This window comes from Homo sapiens, chromosome 10, assembly GCF_000001405.40.
Source record: "Homo sapiens chromosome 10, GRCh38.p14 Primary Assembly".
Classification (NCBI taxonomy): domain Eukaryota; kingdom Metazoa; phylum Chordata; class Mammalia; order Primates; family Hominidae; genus Homo; species Homo sapiens.
In genome coordinates, this window is record NC_000010.11 from 92,490,992 (window position 1) to 92,510,184 (window position 19,193).

Genomic DNA, 19,193 nt, shown 5'->3' on the forward strand with positions numbered 1-19,193 from the left:
CTTTAGGAGGCTGAGGCAGGATGCTCACTTGAGCCCAGGAGTTCAAGAGCAATCTGGGCAAAATAGTGGGACCCGTCTCTACAAAAAATTGTAATAATTAACCAGGTGGGGTGGCACGCAGCTATAGTTCCAGCTACTTGGAAAACTGAGGTGGGAGGATTGCTTGAGCCCAGGAGTTTGAGGCTGCAGTAGGCTAGAATCACACCACTGCACTCTAGCATGGGTGACAAATCAAAACCTTGTCTCTTTAAAAAAAAAAAAACCAAAAAGGCAAAAAAAGTACTCCTTCCTAGGAGTATCTCAGGTGCAGAATTAACAGGAATGACTAATAAAACCTGCTGGCTCATCCAGAGATTTTAAAAACGTGACACACATACCCAAGAAACTTTTATTATTGCTTGCTACATTTGTGCTCTATGTTTTTTTCCCTGCCAGAGACTAGCATCAAATATGTCTACTACAAATACACAGGCCTTCCTGCTACTAGGGGAGAAAGGGACAAGACCAAAAAATGTCTACCACTGTAACCTCTGCCTCCCGGGTTCAAGAACTCTCCTGCCTCAGCCTCCCAAGTAGCTGGGATTACAGGCACCCGCCACCACGCCTGGCTAATTTTTGTTTTTGTTTTTTTTTTTTGAGTTGGAGTTTTGCTCTTGCCACCCAGGCTGGAGTGCAATGGTGCGATCTTGGCTCACTGCAACCTCTGCCTCCTGGGTTCAAGCAATTCTCCGGCCTCAGCCTCCCAAGTAGCTGGGATTACAGGTGCCTACCACCTTGCCCAGCTAATTTTTGTATTGTTAGTAGAGACAGGGTTTCACCATGTTGGCCAGGCTGGTCTTGAACTCCTGACCTCAGGTGATCCGCCTGCCTCAGCCTCCCAAAGTGCTGGGATTACAGGTGTCAGCCACTGTGCCCAGCCTAAAAGCTTTTTTTGATGCGACAGTAGAAACAGCCCAGAAGAGAAGTCAGATGGAAAAAAGTGTTCAAGGATGGGCATGGTGACTCATGCCTGTAATCCCAGCACTTTGGGAGGCCAAGGCGGGAAGATCACGAGGTCAAGAGATCGAGATCATCCTGGCTAACATGGTGAAATCCCGTCTCTACTAAAAATACAAAAAATTAGCCGGGTGTGGTGGCGGGTGCCTATAGTACCAGCTACTTGGGAGGCTGAGGCAGGAGAATGGCGTGAACCCGGAAGGCGGAGCATGCAGTGAGCCGAGACTGCACCACTACACTCCAGCCTGGGAGACAGAGCAAGACTCTGTCTCAAAAAAAAAAAGAAAAGAAAAAAGTGTTCAAGGAGGGAAGGCAGAAGTAAAGTGATGTCAAAAGATAAGTGAACAAAAAATGACAAGACTAGAGGAGCAAAAGAAGTTCTGAACAAGTGGAACTCTAAGCCATCCCTGTGTAGCACTATCAGGGACACTCCGCCTCTACTGCCTTTTAATCATTGAAGTTGGAATCACTACACCCTCACCAGTGGACTCAACCACAGGCTGGGACCAATCCTATTTTGAATCTTGTGGGTCAAGGAATTCTAGCCAATTAGCTTGGGCAACTTGGTGTAAAGTCAGTCCTGCTATTGGTTCCACTTCTCCCTTAAGTCCCAATTCCCAATTCAAATAATTAGGTCCCAATTCAAATAATATCTGTTCCTGCTTGTTCTCACCTACCCCCAGAGGTTTGATTCTAGCCTCTGAATGTTGGCCTCACAGCTGAAAGCCTAGTACTTGCAATCAAAACTCCCCTCTGATGATACTCATTCATTTTGAGAATCCCAATCTCTGTTCCAAATACCTGCCCCTTGTTGAACCTCCCCAACTTCAACGCTAGTAGTCTGAACTACTGTCTATTTTTTATTCATTCTAGACAAAATACTCTACCTGGCTGACTGGACTTGGTCTTGTCATCTGCTTTTCGGTAGATATCCTAAAGCAAGATGACTCACCTGTCAGTATGACCGACTAATCTTCCAGCTGTAGGTGTTCCTGATCTGGCCTATCTGTCACTAACCACTACCAGTTCTAGAAAACATGCTAAATAAGAAATACGTTCCAGAGAAAGATACAGAGGAATCAGAGGATTTGACAGATAAAAGAGTTCTATTATTGCGTCAGAAGGAAGTGATGCATGTTGGTAGTTCAAGAATCCCGTTTGAGGTGTATGTGTAGAGAGTTCACAGAAATCATATAGCTATATGAAGGGTGTATGGTATCTCTTAAGGGCATTCAATACATGATAGAGCCTATGAAGACTCAGGCCTAGGAACTCGGGCTTCCACTTTTGTTGATTTCTCAGAAAATGAATGGATTGATTCTCAAGGAGACTTCTAAAAAATATACTAAGTAGAAGAATCTGGCAGATGGTCTTCCCATCTACTCTTCCATGAAACGCTTGATTTCTTTTTTTTTTTTTTTAGAGACAGGGTCTCACTCTGACACCCAAGCTGGAGTGGAGTGGACTTGCCCTCTGAAACAAGAAAACCTTAAACTCAGTTCTGAGAGAGAAAGTAAACAAGCTGCCAAGCCAGATGCTCTGGAAGATGACTATCTGACACAGAAAGCAGACACTCAGGCTGTGCAGTAATGCTCAGGTTAAAAAAAAAAAAGGAGGGGAAAAAGGCAGACTCATCAAGTACAGTCCTTAGGGATTTGGATAGCTATATACCAAAGTGAGGTGTATGGGTAACATTTGAAATGTTATTATAAGGAAACAGACAAGCACAGTTCCTCAGACTAGGCACAGATCAAATACCAGACTAACAAAAAGAGATACCTTTGCAGACCAAGAGTTAGTATATCATTAAGGAATTCCAGATTGAAATATACAATGAAAGGGTATGTATGAGGTAATAAATAAAGACAGGGAAGAAAGTAACGGTACAGACAGAGTATACACACATCAAACCCATATAGATACCTATGAACCAGAGTGTGAAAGTACAGGGAAGAGCACTTGAATTAGGAGAAAAGGTCACAATAATTGAAGTACAGACACCTATAGTATACACAACCGCAGACAGTTGAGAAAAACTAGTACAAATATTGTAGCATTTTAGACCATCTGCCGAAAATCTAATTATACCAAAAAATAAGGTTTCCTTTTTTCGAGACAGGGTCTTGTACAGTGGTGTGATCATACCTTACTGCAGCCTTGAACTCCTGAGCTCAAGTGATCCTCCTGCCTCAGTCTCTCAAGTAGCTGGGACTACAGGCATATACCACCATACCCAGCCAATTTTTTTTTTTTTTTTTTTGGTAGAAATGAGGTCTCACCACGTTGCCCAGGCTGGTCTCAAACTCCTGAGCTCAAACAATCCTCCCACCTTGGCCTCCCAGAGTGCTAGGATTACAGGCATGAGCTACCATGCCCAGCCCAGTTTTTTTTTTTTTTTTAATGTGGCTAGAGTGTGGGGGAAGAAAAGGCTGCCAATATGGTAATGATGTGATCCTTAGAAATGAGAGAACAGGCCAGGCACAGTGGCTCAAGCCTGTAATCCCAACACTTTGGGAGGCCAAGGCGAGTGGGTCACTTAAGCCCTTGAGTTCAAGGCAAGCCTGGGCAATACAGTGAGATCCTGTCTCTATTTAAAGAAAAAGAAAGAAATTAAAAAATGAAACATGAGAAAACACAACCTTTTCATACTAAAACTTACAACAGCAAGAAAAGGAAACAGCGGGCTAGAATGAATGCTGTTGACTTCAAGTACATTTAAAAATGTTTGGAGCGAATGCAGCTGTCGAAGCTGGATGGAACTCATCTGGAAACAAAAGGTCTCCTGACTACAGACATGAAAAGGCAATATGGTTCCCAAAGAATAAACTCTCCTGAGATTTTTACAAATGATGCCTAACACAGAATAGGGAAAAGATGTCCAAAGAATGAGAAGAGGCTTCATAGGTAATTGTGATTAATTCAAACAATTAGTGGAAAGGGCACAGACCTGGCAATAAGAAACTGAGATTCTGGCAGATACTCTGAATCACTTTCTTTGAAATCTTGCCAAAATCACAGATCTAAGTTAGGCACAAGCCATTTAGCCTCTCTAAACTTCAGTTTCATTAATTTTTAATTTTTCTTTTTTTTTTTTGAGACGGAGTCTTGCTCTGTCGCCCAGGCTGGAGTGCAGTGGTATGATCTCGGCTCCCTGGAACCTCCACCTCCTGAGTTCAAGCGATTCTCCTGCCTCGGCTTCCATAGTAGCTAGGATTACATCACACTCGGCTTTTTTTTTTTTTTTTTTTTTTAAGATGGCGTCTCACTCTGTTGCCCAGGCTGGAGTGCAGTGGCGCGATCTTGGCTCACCACAACCTCCGCCTCCTGGATTCAAGCGATTCTCCTGCCTCAGCCTCCTGAGTAGCTGGGACTACAGGCACACGCCACCATGCCTGGCTAATTTTTGTATTTTTAGTAGAGACAGGGTTTCACTATGTTGGCCAGGCTGGTCTCAAACTCCCGACCTTGTGATCCGCCCACCTCGGCCTCCCAAAGTGCTGGGATTAGAGGCATGAGCCACTGCACCCAGTCTTTTGTATTTTTAATAGAGACGGGGTTTCGCCATGTTGGCCAGGCTGGTCTCCAACTCCTGACCTCAGGTGATCCACCCACCTTGGCCTCCTAAAGTGCTGGGACTACAGGCGTGAGCCACCACACCCGGCCTCAATAATTTTTAAATAGGGATTCAAATTAGATGAACCCTCTCCTTCCACTAGTAAAATTCTACACTATCATGATATCAAATTAGAGTTTTAAAGGATACACACAAAAGACAGAAAGTTGAAAAAAAAATCTATTGATGAGATTCAAAAATCATACTTAAATAGTGATAGGAAAGCTAAAGTGCTAAAGGAATTGAGGCTCATGAAAAATGCTAAAAACCATTTTTTAAGTGTTTTTTTTTTTTGAGACAGGGTTGCTCTATCCCCCAGGCTGGAGTGCAGTGGCATGATCTTGGCTCACTGCAACCTCCGCCCCCTGGGTTCAAGCGATTTCCATGCCTCAGCCTTCTGAGTAGCTGGGATTACAGGTGCCTGCCACCATGCCCGGCTAATTTTTGTATTTTTAGTAGAGATGGGGTTTCACCATGTTGGTCAGGCTGGTCTTGAACACCCAACCTCAGGTGATCCACCTGCCTCAGCCTCTCAAAGTGCTGGGATTACAGGCGTGAGCCACCACGCCTGGCCTAAAGTGTTTCTTAAAGTAAGAAAAAAGTCAAGAAAGATTAGGCTTAAAGTTTAGAAAATTCAGTCAACTTTTACTGAGTTCTTACCAGGTCAAATTCTGGGAAAGACAAAATATAGTTCCTATTTGGAAAAACTCATAATTTAATAGGACACATGACCTATAGCAAAATGTAATCAGTTAATCTCATGTTAACAGATGGCAGGACTACTCCTCTCTTATTTACCTGGTCTTTGAAATAAACATGGCTCTTTAAACTGTAAAGGTGGACCAAACACAGAAAAAAGGAGTTGAAGATAGGTGAATGAGCCAAGTATGAAACCACCTCTCTAGCCAGGTGTGGTGGCTCATGCCTGTAATCTCAACAATTTGGGAGGCTGAGGCCGGTGGATCACTTGAGGTCAGGAGTTCAAGACCAGCCTGGCCAATATGGTGAAACCCTATCTCTACTAAAAATACAAAAATTAGCCAGGTGTGGTAGTGGGCACCTGTAATGCCAGCCACTCGGGAGGCTGAGGCAGGAGAATCCTTTGAACCCAGGAGGCCGAGGCTGCAGTGAGCCGAGATTGTGCCATTGCACTCCAGCCTGGGCAACAGAGCAAGACTCTGTCTCAAAAAATATAAAAATAAAAAAGGAGAAATCACATCTCCAAACACAGATAAGTCACAATTTCTAATGCTTAGGCAACTACCAAATCCTAACAGAATCATTGTCCATCATCTTTTAGAAATGCTGGAGAACACGAGATGAGGCAGAAAACTGGAGATGGAGATGGGCAAATGCTGTAACTTTCAAAAAGAAAAAAGGAGTGAAGCCTGAACACCATAAGCCAGTAAATTAGGAATTGATCCCTGACAAAATTCTACAGTTAACTGTCAGACTGTCAGACATTTAGACAAGAAAACCGTCGTTATCACTAGGACTTTCATGGACTAATTAAGAATAACTTCTCCCAAATAAATGGAATTATTTATGACTAAAGGAAGGCACATGACAAAGACTCTATAGCTGTCTTTGTAGATTTAATATGGTAAAACAGGCACCAAATGATAGGATCAGGGGAGGTGGGTGACAATGATCATTGAGTAATAATAGGTAAACACCTTTGAACAGGTAATCAAGTCTCAAAATTCAAAATAATTGTCTAACAATTAGGACTGGCAAAAATGAAACTGGCTACCTTGGTATTTAATGAGTTCCCCATCCTTGGAAGAAGTTAAACTGAAGCTGGTAACTACTTAGCTGGGATACTGCAGAACAGATACACAGTACCATACTACACCATTTAATATAAGGGACTTGAGCACCTTGGATTTTGATATCCATGGGGGTCTTGGAACCAATCCCCTGCGGATATGGAGGGCCAAGTGTATACCTAACAGGAGTTGGATTAAATGGCCTCTAAGGTTCCTTTCATTCTTAAGAGTTTCCTGTTTATTTCCCTACCTGGTTGCAATGTTAAACTTGTCTCAGCGGGTATTAAAGAAGGTAATCTTACCCTTGAGCCACCCTAGTCTGGTCTGGCAGCTGGCAATATTATCCCAGGCTGTTTTGCACCATGTATCACTGACCTACTACAGTTACAACTGTTAACAGTCACAGAGACCAATCCTGTAGAGGAAAAGTGCTTTCTCTTTAAATGTGAGAGTAAAAAGAGGTATTTAATTGCATAAGATATCAAATTTAGAAATATGCAATTTCAAAAGTAAAACATATGCTCCAGCAAATGCACTCCTACGAAGTGTTGCTGGGTCAATTACTGGCTCTAGAGCAGCAAGAATTATAATTTAAATCATGGTTTTTTCTTACAAAAATGAAAAAGCACATCCTTATTATATGGTATAACTTTAATATAGCATTACCTTGTGTTTGTACAACACTTTTTGACTTTGCTAAATCATTTTACATCATACAGATAAAGCACTATCCCCACTTTGCAGATGAGCAGGGTTCAAGGAAATTAAATGACAGCCAGTATTCATGACATTATATAAAGTTAACTTTTCACAAGTCCCCCTTTCAGGACTGTCAACTCTGAGGTTTCACGTAAGTGATTCAATAAACATTGAAAGAAAAAAATGATGTATCCAAGATCTCATGACTAGTAGTAGGTGACAAAACCACACAAAATTAGTAACTGGAAGGAATCTTAAAGATTGTCTAGTGAGGCCGGGTATGGGGGCTCACACCTATAATCCCAGCACTTTGAGAGGACGGGGTGGGTGGATCACTTGAGGTCAGGAGTTTGAGACCAGCCTGGCCAACATGGTGAAATCTTGTCTCTACTAAAAAAAAATACAGGCCGGGCATGGTGGCTCACACCTGTAATCCCAGCACTTTGGGAGGCCGAGGCAGGTGGATCACCTGAGGTCAGGAGTTCGAGACCAGCTTGGCCAACATAGCAAAACCCCATCTCTACTAAAAATACAAAAAGTTAGCTGGGCGTGGTGGCAGGCACCTGTAATCCCAGCTACTCGGGAGGCTGAGGCAGGAGAATTGTCTGAACCCGGGAGGCGGAGGTGCAGTGAGCCAAGATCGTGCCATTGCACTCCAGCCTAGGCAACAAGAGCGAAACTCCATCTCAAAGAACAAAAAACAAAAATTAGTCAGGCATGGTGGCGGGTGCATGTTATCCCAGCTACTGGGAGGCTGAGGCAAGAAAATTGCTTGAACCTGGAAAACAGATTGTCTAACAAGTTCTATTAGTAAATCTATAGCTCTTTCTCCTCATGTTGGTAAGAGGTTTTATTTGTAGAAGGTATATGATAAAATTCAACCGGATTTAGGCTGATTTTTCCCCCCTGGAAATATAGGTACACTGAGGAAAATACAAATATTTAAACTGTTTTACTTGCCTAAATGAGGCAAGTAAATTAAAACCAGTGTGGCAAGTAAAGTAAAAATTAGTGTGTGTTCTGGGTATTTTTCTTCAATGTATTTTAATGATGTAAGTAAATGCATGTATCACTTAAGAGCGGTTTTTAATATTGATGAAGTCCATTTTATTGGTGGTTTTTCTTTTTTTTTTGAGATGGAGTTTTGCTCTTTTGCCCAGGGTGGAGTCAAGTGGCATGATCTTGGCTCACTGCAACCTCCGGCCCCCAGGTTCAAGCGATTCTCCTGCCTCAGCCTCCCAAGTAGCTGGAATTACCGTAGAGATGAGGTTTTGCCATGTTGGCCAGGCTGGTCTTGAACTCCTGACCTCAGGTGATCCACCCACTTTGGTCTCCCAAAGTGCTAGGATTATAGGCATGAGCCACCGCACCCAGCCTTCTTTAAGACAGGGTCTCACCCTGTTGCCCAGGCTGGAGTGCAGTGGTATGATCATGGCTCACTGCAACCTCCACCTCCTGGGCTCAAGTGATCCTTCTGCCTCAGCCTCCTGAGTAGCTGGGACTACAGGCACGTACCACCACACCCTGCTAATTTGCATACTTTTTTAGAGATGGGGTTTCATCATGTTGCCCAGGCTGGTCTCGAACTCCTGAGCTCAAGCAATCCTCCCTCTATGCCTCCCAAAGTGCTGGCATTATGGGTGTGAACCACTGTGCACGGTCAATGTGTTTTCGTTAGTGGTTACTGCTTTTCATGTTCTATCTGAGAAATCTTTGCCTATCGCAAGGTTTTGAAGATATTTTTCTATTTTTTCTGGAAGTTTTATAGATTTAGTGTTTATATTTAGGTCTATGATCTATCTCAAATTTTATAAATAGTATGAGGCAAAGGTCAAGTTTCATCATTTTTCATATAGATACGCAGCTAGTAGAACAGCACCATTTGTTGAAAAGATTTTCCATTCTCAATTATGTTGATGCTCTTCTCAAAAATAAAATCAACTGACTGGCCGGGTGCAGTGGCTCATGCCTGTAATCCCAGCACTTTGGGAGGCCGAGAACGGTGGATCACCTGAGGTCATGAGTTCGAGACCAGCCTGACCAACATGGAGAAACCCCGTCTCTATTAAAAATACAAAATTAGCCAGACATGGTGGTGCGTGCCTGTAATCCCAGCTACTCGGGAGGCTGAGGCAAGAGAATCGCTTAAACTCGGGAGATGGAGGTTTCAGTGAGCTGAGATCGCACCATGGCATTCCAGCCTGGGCAACAAGAGTGAAACTCCATCTCAAAAAAAAAAAAACCCCAACTGACTGATAGATGAATGCATAAAGAAAATATGGTATATACATATAATGGAACACTATTTAGCCTTAAAAAGAAAGGGAATCCTGTCATATGCTACAACATGGATGAACCTTGAAGACATTATAGTAAGTGAAATGAACCAGGCACAGAAAGGTATGTTGTATGATTCTACTTACATTAGGTATCGAAAGTAGTTAAACCCATAGAAACAGAATGTAGAATAGTGATTATCAGAAGGCAGAGAGAAAAGGGAAGTTGTTTTTTAATCACAACAAAAAAATCAACTGACCATGTATGTGTGGAACTATATCTGGACTCTGTTCTCTTCCAATGATTTCTTTGTCTATCCATATGATGTCAATACTACCGTGTCTTAATTACTGAAGCTTTATACTAATGTCCTCAAATCTAGTGGTTTAATTCCTCCCACATTTGGTGATTTTTTTTTTTTTCCGGAGTGTTCTGACTTATCTAGGTCCTTTGTATGTCCATATAAATTTTGGAACCAATTTCTGAAAAAAGGAAAAACAGCCTGGCCAACATGGTGAAACCCCATCTCTACTGAAAACACAAAAATTAGCTGGGCGTGGTGGCATACACCTGTAATCCCAGCTACTTGGGAGGCTGAGGCAAGAGAACCGCTTGAACCTGGGAGGCAGAGGTTGCAGTGAGCTGAGATCGCACCACTGCACTCCAGCCTGGGCGACAGAGTGAGATCCTGTCTCAGAAAAAAAAAAAAGAAAAAGAAAAAAAGAAAAAAAAGGCCAGGTGCAGTGGCACATGCCTGTAATCCCAGCACTTTGGGAGGCTGAGGTGGGAGGATCATTTGAGCTCAGGAGTTCGAGACTAATCTGGGCAACATAGTGAGACTCTCTCTCTACAAAAAAATTAAAAAATTAGCTGGGCATTGGTGGCACATGCCTGTAATCCCACCTACTTGGGAGGCTGAGGCATGAGAATTGCTTAAACCCAGGAGGAGGAGGTTGCAGTGAGCCAAGATGACACTAGTGCACTCCAGCCCGGGCAACAGAGCAAGACTCTGTCATTAAAAAAAAAAAAAAAAAAAAAAAAAAAAAGCCGGTGCATTGGCTCACGCCTGTAATCCCAGCACTTTGGGAAGCCAAGGTAGGCAGATCACAAAGTCAAGAGATCGAGACCATCCTGGCCAACATGGTGAAACCCTGTCTCTACTAAAAATACAAAAATTAGCTGGGCATGGTGGCGCGTGCCTGTGGTTACAGCTACTGGGGAGGCTGAGGCAGGAGAATAGCTTGATCCTGGGATGTGGAGGTTGCAGTGAGCCGAGATTGCGCCACTGCACTCCAGCCTGGTGACACAGCGAGACTCCGTCTAAAAAAAAAAAGAAAAAAGAAAAAAGGCCGGGAACGGTGACTCACGCCTGTAATCCCAGCACTTTGGGAGGCTGAGGTGGGCGGATCACCTGAGGTCAGGAGTTCGAGACCAGCCTGGTCAACATGGTGAAACCCCATCTCTACTAAAAATAAAAAAATTAGCCAGGTGTGGTGGCGGGTGCCTGTAATCCCAGCTACTCAGGAGGCTGAGGTAAGAGAATTGCTTGAACCTGGGAGGCGGAGGTTGCAGTAAGCCGAGATTGCACCATTGCACTTCCAGCCTGGGTGACAAGAATGAAACTCCATCTAAAAAAAAATAATAATAAACAAACAGGTATAGTGGCTTGCACCCATAATCCCAGCTACTCAGGAAGCTGACGCAGGAGATCACTTAAGCCCAAGAGGTCAAGGCTGCAGTGAGCTATGATCCCGCCACTACAGTCCAGCCTGGGTGACAATGCAAGACCCTGTCTCTAAATAAATGAATAAAAAGAAAAAGAAAAACAGCCTACCAGGATTTTGGTTATGATTACATTGAGTCTATGAATCAGATTGGAGAGAACTAACATATTAATAATATCAAGTCTCCTAATGTATGACTATAGTATGCTTCTCCATTTATTTAGGTCTTCTTTCATTTTTCTCGGCTAATATTTGCTCTCTTCTACTGTTTTTAGTTTTTTATGTAGAAGTCTTGCTTATCTTTGGTTAAACTCATTCCTAGTAATATTATGCTTTTGTTGCTATTATAAATACTTCTTTTAATTTTCTATTTTTTTGTTGCTATATATAGATATGCAGTTGATTTTTGTATGTTGACCTTGCAACCTGTGACTGTGCTGAATTCAGTTATTGGTTCCAGATTTTTGAAGGGGAAAGTAGATTCCTTAGGATTTTCTACATATGCAATTATGTGTATCAGTGCATATATCACTTTAAACCATTTAAATTATGTGAACTATATCTCGCCATCCCCCACTAAACTACGTCAGGCATGAATAACTTAACATATTACGTTATACAAATATTTAATCTACAACTTTCTCTGTTGTTCACTGAATGGAAAAGGAAAGATTTCTTCGTTTTTCAATTCCTCAGTAAATTATCTAGAGTTGAAAAAGAGCATTTGCTGTTAAAGGCAGAATGATCAACTCAGCAATCTCTAATGAATTCACAGCTGTCAGTAACTTTGTCTAGTTTTTCAGTAAGATTTTCTGTATCATAATCAATTCTTGAGTAATTAAGGATTAGGCAATAAATGGGGACTTAAAATATTGGCAAGAAACTGCGTAGGAAACATTGTAACCTACTGGGTACCTCAAACCAGAAATTTAATTTCTAAATAATTTCACATGTTATTTTCATTGAAAAAGACTTCTAAATTTTGACCCTTAATATATTTTTTAAACCTCAAAACCATGGTATCTTATTCCAATTTAAAAATTCTAGGCTCAGTAAGAAAAAAGAAAAGAAAATTCTAGACTGGGCACAGTGGCTCACGACGGCTGTAATCCCAGCACTTTGTGGGGCTAAGCCGGACTGCTTGAGGCCAGGAGTTTGAGATCCACCTGGGCAACACAGTGAGACCCTATCTCTATAAAAAATTGTTCTTGAAGCTAGATAATTATCTGTACTCATCCAAACACTGTATCATAATATAAAAAAATCATTAAAACTTTTTAAATACAGATAGGGTGTCACTATGCTGCTCAGGCTGGTCTTAAACTCCTAGTCTCAAGTGATCCTCCTCTGCCTTGGCTTCCCAAAAAATAGAATATTTAGCTGAATCCTAGCATGAGGTCAGGTAAAATCTGGCTAATAGTATTTCCTAGAAGAAAGTCACCCGAGTCCACCAACCACCTAGGAGTGACAATAGATAGGCCAAGCCCACCTGAACATTAGAAGACATTAATTATTGTTCTCAACCTAAACAGTATAGTGCAAGTCATATATATGCAATTATCGCTAATGAAGCTTTGATAATATGTCTGGAAAAGTTCAAACAATGGTAACTAGGAAAAGATTCTGATAGGATAGTTCTGTCAAAAAGACTTTTTTTTTTTTTTTTGAGACGGAGTTTCACTCTTGTTGCCTAGGCTGGAGTGCAATGCCATGATCTCGGCTCACAGCAACCTCCACCTCCTGGGTTCAAGCGATTCTCCTGTTGCAGCCTCCCGAGTAGCTGGGATTACAGATGCATGCCACCATGCCTGGCTAATTTTGTATTTTTATTAGAGACGGGGTTTCTCCATGTTGGTCAGGCTGGTCTCGAACTCCCGACCTCAGCTGATCCGCCCGCCCTGGCCTCCCAAAGTGCTGGGATTACAGGCAGGAGCCACCGCGCCCAGCCCAAAAAGATTTTTTTTTTTTTACAAAAAGTTCTATCACATTGTTGATCTTATTCATAAAACAACTGTTCCAAAAAACTTACTCAATAACCAAATTGCCAGTAGAATTTCAAAAATACTTCCCTAACAGAGGAGAAAAATTAAAAATGTAAAACATGTCATTCAATTATATTCCCTCTATCATTTGACTTTAGAAAACATAGATGAAATTCAGTTTTATGGGAGGAATATCATGTGGTGGCTCACAAGCACTTTAAGGACTACTTTCCTCTAGCAAGAATACCTCTGCTACTATAAGAGTTTGGACTTTTGATTTCCAGGTTAACCACTGGTCAATCAGGAGGATTCTGAGATTGTAATCTTTACTGTGGCTTAAGAAAAAGAGGGTGCCTTCATTTGCTTATATGAGTCAGATAGGTGGGCTGATACTTTGGGCGTTTGAGTTAGAATAAAGCCAGGTTAAGACAGGTTATTATTCTATTTTATTTATGATAATAAAATTATATTTGTTTTTAAAAATGTCCTCATCTTTTAGAGATATTGCCTCAAAATAATTTAGGGTGGAAGGGGGATGACTGAAGAGGGATGGGTATAGATTAAAAAAGACTGGCCATGTATCAATGGTTGAAGCTTGGTGTTGCTTCATTATACTATTCTCTACTTTTGTAATGCTTGATAAAATGTTTAAAAGCATTTTATTCACAATTTCAAATTTTTTCAGATTCTAATCATTATTGAAAATTTAGTGTATAATAGTAAAATCTGTATGGTGACTCACCGGACATTTTCTGGTCTGAGTTTATCGAGAACCATCTCTATTAAGTCAGGTCTAAATTCTTCCAGTAAATATTCCGCTGTGAGCACCTCTTCTAGGGGATAATACTTTTAAAAAGGAAAATATAAATAAATAAAATATACAAAGCTACTACATAGTTTATTAAAGCAGATCTGTAACACATTAAATTCATTACTGTACACCCTTTCTCTCTTCAGTTAAATTTTACTCCATTGGAAAAATTTTCTGTAGCCCTAAATCGTTGTCTCTTTCCTACCACATTGTTAAGCAGTTTCATATTGTTTGATGATTCTGCCAAATATACTGTTAATCCCCAAACATACTTCCATTGTAGAGAGCAAAATCACATTTCTTTCGGGGAAAACCACGAATGTTTCTGGTTAAAAACTGAGTACTTGTTAATGAAGAAAATTCGATATTAAAATGCTGACACCTACAGGATTTTTAAAATATAAAGTACACACATTTTTATGAACAGAATTTCCTCCTAAATTTCTATGAAACAAATTAGACAAACATTTAGGAAGCGGCTGTGGAAAAAAAAATGGCTTATATTTTTGGCCAGTGTAGAAAAACAATGCAGAAGATGCTTTTTGGTAAGAGCAACTTCCAATATACTGAGACACACTGACTGATTCATTCATCTAATAAATATTTAATGAACATCTACTATGTGCCAGACACTGTTCCACACACTATGGATACAAAAGTAGGTAAGACACATGAAATCCTTTGTCCTCCAAGAAGCACACAGACATTGTAATTGGGAGGGAGGCAGACAACAAACAAATATTGTAATGTTAGTGAGAGATGCTATGAAAACAATAAAAAAAGGGGCAGGGGCATTATTTTAGATTGGGAGGTCAGAGAAGGTCTGAGGAGAAGAACTCTGAGTGGAGACTGAAATGATAAGAACCTAGCCAGGCAAAGATCAGATAGAACAGTGTTTCATGTAGAGAAAATAGCAATGGGGGAGGAATAAACTTAATGCTTGAAAATTAGAGAGCCAGTACAGTTGGAGTGGAATGCAAATGGGAGAGGTGGGCTGGACAGTGGTATAGAAGATGGCCAGATAGGCTGGGGCCACATCACCTTGTAGGCCAAGGAAAATTTTGCATTTTATGCCAACTCTGTTGGGAAACCACTGAAGGAATTTAAACAGAGGAGTGAAACATTCAGATTTTAGTTTTCAAAAGATCACGAGCCTGGAAAAATAAACTACAATGGGGACCAAGAGGAAAATAGGGATCGCAGGTAAAAGACTATCATGGTAGCCCAAGCAAGAAATGATGATAGCTCAGACTAGGATGGTAGCAATGGAAATTTTAAAAAAGTAAATGATCAATAGCTTTCATATAAGTAACACCTGATATGCTGTAGAACTGAAATATATTTAAAGCCAATAAGCAAAATGCATATTTAATAAAAATATTACATAAAATAAATTTCACGATGATGAAAATTAAGATTTTAAACATCTCCTGACATCAACATTTGCCCTGTTGCTACAAAGTTGAAAGCTTTATACCTCAGCTTCAATTGTAATCATTCACTTATTACTGAAAATATATGCAAGATTGCTGAAATACTCCACACAGCAATGTATACAGTAAAATAACAACAAACTTACATGCAATATTCCTGCAATCTTAGATGTATAGCCCCGTGGCCTCTCTTTGTCTTTAAACCTAAAAGCAACAGCATTCAAGTCCTAAAATAGAAAGTTAATCCAATTAGATACGGCCACCCTTATTTAGAAACCTTTTTTTTTTTTTTTAAGTGTTTGGCTTGCACTATAAGCTTTCTACTCCATATTTAACTTTATCACACTTTCTGAAAAAATGGCTATGCTTGATTTAGAAATGTATAGAATATTTTAAAAATTTCTTAATGTGTATAAAATTTAATCCATCAATCTAGGCTTAAAACCAAAAGCAAAATAGGTAAACAACTTTCAATGAAAATAACAAATACAGGATATGGCTCGATAGCCTAAGTTGTTGAAACTAATAGCCAAAGAATTTAGAAAAACTGTGTGAAAGAACCTTGTGAGATCCAACAATTCCACCATAGATGATTTTGGTGACTCATTCAGAGAACAGCACCCAGATTAGGAGTTATTGTCATAATTTTCAGAAGCAGAGATTATACCTTTAAACTTTTATCTAGTTAAAAAGGATGTTTCTCATACTAAAATACATTTGAGAATCTCGATAGGCTTTAAAGCACGTATTTTTAAAAACCCTTTTTTAAAAGGCTTTTAAAAATTTGAAAGACAAACACCATTTGTTTTACGCAAAAAAAAAAGCCAGCCTCTTCCCATACATACAATAATAAAATCACTTTTAATAACACAATCATACATAAAGCAATTCATTACTTCTTTGAGAGTTTGCTACAGATTTAAAGATCTGAAAACGACAGAGCTCATGCAGCTTCAGGCAGGGAGTAACATAATCCCTGACATATTCCAGCTCAAGAAACTGCTGATTTTCTTCTGAGTGATGGAAAAGCATTTGATTTCTTCCCTTTTCCATCCTAAAAAGGGCTACACGATGCCTTTCCCCTTAGTTGTGCCCCAAGTAGCAAATCAGACTAGTACAACTAAGCCTTAACTAATACTATTATACATTGCAAAATTTTAGACTTCAGTTAGGAAAAAAACTTTAAAAGTTTAACTGGGCCTTAAATTTAAATTAATTCACATGTATTTGCTCTTGAAAAACAGATTCCTTAAGAAAAATTTTGGTGAAACAAAAGTACCTTGCACTCTTGGAAAACCCATTCTTGAGGTCCTTCTGCACGTAACTTCTGAATGTATTGAAACATGTGCAAAATTATATCTTCAACATGTACTGGAAAAAAGGGGCACACTTAAAAACCATTCAGTCCTTGAATCCTTCAAAGCAGTGAGCTCACTCCTAAGGTAAAGTCAGATAAGTGGAAGATGGTCCCTCTTAGAAAATGCAGTCCTCACCTCCCTGAGACTGGCTTTACGTGTCCCACATACATGGCCCTCTGGGCTCAGAGATATGTGACAGAAAGGGTGTTGGGGCAGTAAATGAGCAAATAAAAAGCCAAGTCCACATTTAACAAGTGCAACATAATGATCAGTTGTTAAGGGGGGAAGAATCATCCATGAAACAAAGGCCAAGTTACATATGAAAAATACAATGGATAAGTTGTATGAATTAAAGTGTTGTAGCTTTCAACATAAAACAGATCCACAGCATGAAGAAGTTAAAAAACATCATAGAAAGTAAATTTTCATTCAAAAGTAAAAAGGTGAATCAATACTTACATAATCCTTCCTCGGTCAAGTCCACATTAATGATAAAAAACATAAAACCTCGGGCTCCTTCCTTCTGCCCACCAACAAGAGTATTAACCCAGCCTGCAACATTCAAAGGAAATCAATACGATTGATTGCATATGTGGCTTCCTTGAAGATAAGAAAAATTTTAAAAATTCATACTGTATGTTCCTAAGATATCAGAATGAACCTCTTGCGAAAAGATTGGGAAAAAAAAATCAGTTCAGAAAAGCAGTTTAAGATGGTGCAGAAGTGGGGGCTTTCCTGAAGATTCCTCAAATCAATTCCCAGTCAAGAGTAGACTACTGGCTGGGCGCGGTGGCTCATGCCTCTAATCCCAGCACTTTAGGAGGCCAAGATGGGCGGATCGCTTGAGACCAGGAGTTTGAGACTAGCCTAGGCAAAATGGCGAAACCCCATCTCTATCTAAAAAAGAAAAAAAAAAAAAAAAGGCAACAGCGTGCCAACAACCACCATCTCACTCACTAACCCAAAATGGTCACATCTAACAATGTTCCTTCATAGGACACTATTCAGGAGAAAATGAGAGCCAGAGTGAAAAGATGTGGTGGACACTCAGAAGATGCTGCCCAGGAGACTTACCCTTTGACTTAAGTTCTGATAACAGACTTCCAGGACCTTCATGCCCAATGAGATGACCAAGATAATGACCAGGATTTGATTTGTAGTATTTCTGAAGGTCAGGTATGGGAAATGTCACATAGAGATTCCTAATATCTTTAATGGGTACTATTTTGTAAAGTTGCTGGAGAAAACAAATCACAGAGATTAGCTATATACGACTCCTACTGAAGAAAATATTTCTAAACTATGAAGAATGATTTTCATGGGAGAATCCCAAATTTAAGAGCAAATCAATTGCCACAGAAAATGATACACTGACCACAAAGAAATAAATGACTCAGCACTCTCCTAGTGGAATTTCATTACAGTCGGTATATAGTCCATGTTTGACCCCCTGAACCATGCAGCTAAATATTAATGGTTTTGAATGCTTATCTTCAGGTACAGGTTAACAGCTTCAACAGTCTATTAAGACTACAGCTACCAAAACTACTTTTAGCATGTAAAGACCAGAACATATTGATATGTTTTTGGTGATTCATGATCCTAATAAATGTGAGATTGATTTTATTATCCCGACAAATATTTAAAACCACATGGGGGCCGGGTGCGGTGGCTCACACCTATAATCCTCGCACTTTGGGAGGCTGAGGGAGACAGATCACCTGAGGTCAGGAGTTCGACCTCAGCCTGGCCAACATGGTGAAACCCCATTTCTATTAAAAATACAAAAATTAGCCAGGCACAGTGGCATGCACCTATAGTTCCAGCTACTCAGGAGGCTGAGGCAGAAGAATTGCTTGAACCTGGGAAGCAGAGGTTGCAGGGAGCCACGATCGCGCCGCTGCACTCCAGCCTGGGCAACAGAGTGAGACTCCATGTCAAAAAAACCAAAAACAGAAACAAACAAACAAAAAACACTACATAGGGGCTGGGTGCAGTGGCTCACGCCTGTAATCCCAGCATTTTGGGAGGCTGAGACAGGTGGGCCACTTGAGATCAGGAGTTCGAGATCAGTCAAGGCAACATGGTGAAACCCTGTGTCTACTAAAAATACAAAAATTAGCCAGGTGTGGTAGTGTGTACTTGTAGTCCCAACTACTCAGAAGGCTGAGGTGGGAGGATCAATTCAGCCAGGGAAGTTGAGGCTTCAGTGAGCCATGATCGCACCACTGCATTCCAGCCTGGGTGACAATGCAAGACTCTGTTTCCAAAAAAAAAAAAAAAAAACACAACATAAATAATGAAACCTCCAAAAATTTTCACCTGTTCTATGGTAAACTAGGTATATATTATGTCCATAAATTAAGAAGACAAAATACCAAAATTTATGCACTTACTTTAAGATGTTCTTCTTGGAAAGGGTGTTCAGGAAATTCTGGCAATGGAACATTTTTGTTCTCTACTTCAGAAAATAACTTTACCACCAGATTAGTCAAGTCATCTAAAGATTCTACAAGAAAACAGACAAGGAA

At 40.4% G+C, this 19,193-nt stretch overlaps 1 protein-coding gene across 18 annotated transcripts in view; it reads right to left on the reverse strand.

Annotated features, from left to right (window-relative positions):
* IDE (insulin degrading enzyme) overlaps positions 1-19,193 on the reverse strand; it is a 122,410-nt gene that overhangs the window by 39,308 nt on the left and 63,909 nt on the right. For 16 of the 18 annotated variants that reach the window (NR_136399.2, NM_001322794.2, NM_001322793.2 and 13 more), the window contains 6 exons: positions 19,059-19,171; positions 17,737-17,899; positions 17,122-17,214; positions 16,584-16,675; positions 15,451-15,531; positions 13,803-13,906 (listed from right to left, as the gene is read on the reverse strand). Coding sequence is in view for 15 of the 18 variants with exons in the window: in NM_001322794.2 (NP_001309723.1) it covers positions 13,803-13,906; positions 15,451-15,531; positions 16,584-16,675; positions 17,122-17,214; positions 17,737-17,899; positions 19,059-19,171 (646 nt within the window). In the remaining 3 variants the exon portion in view is untranslated. Of the gene's footprint in view, positions 1-6,680; positions 6,774-13,802; positions 13,907-15,450; positions 15,532-16,583; positions 16,676-17,121; positions 17,215-17,736; positions 17,900-19,058; positions 19,172-19,193 lie in introns of those variants that run through there. The other 2 variants (NM_001322797.2, NM_001165946.2) reach the window with 1 other exon arrangement.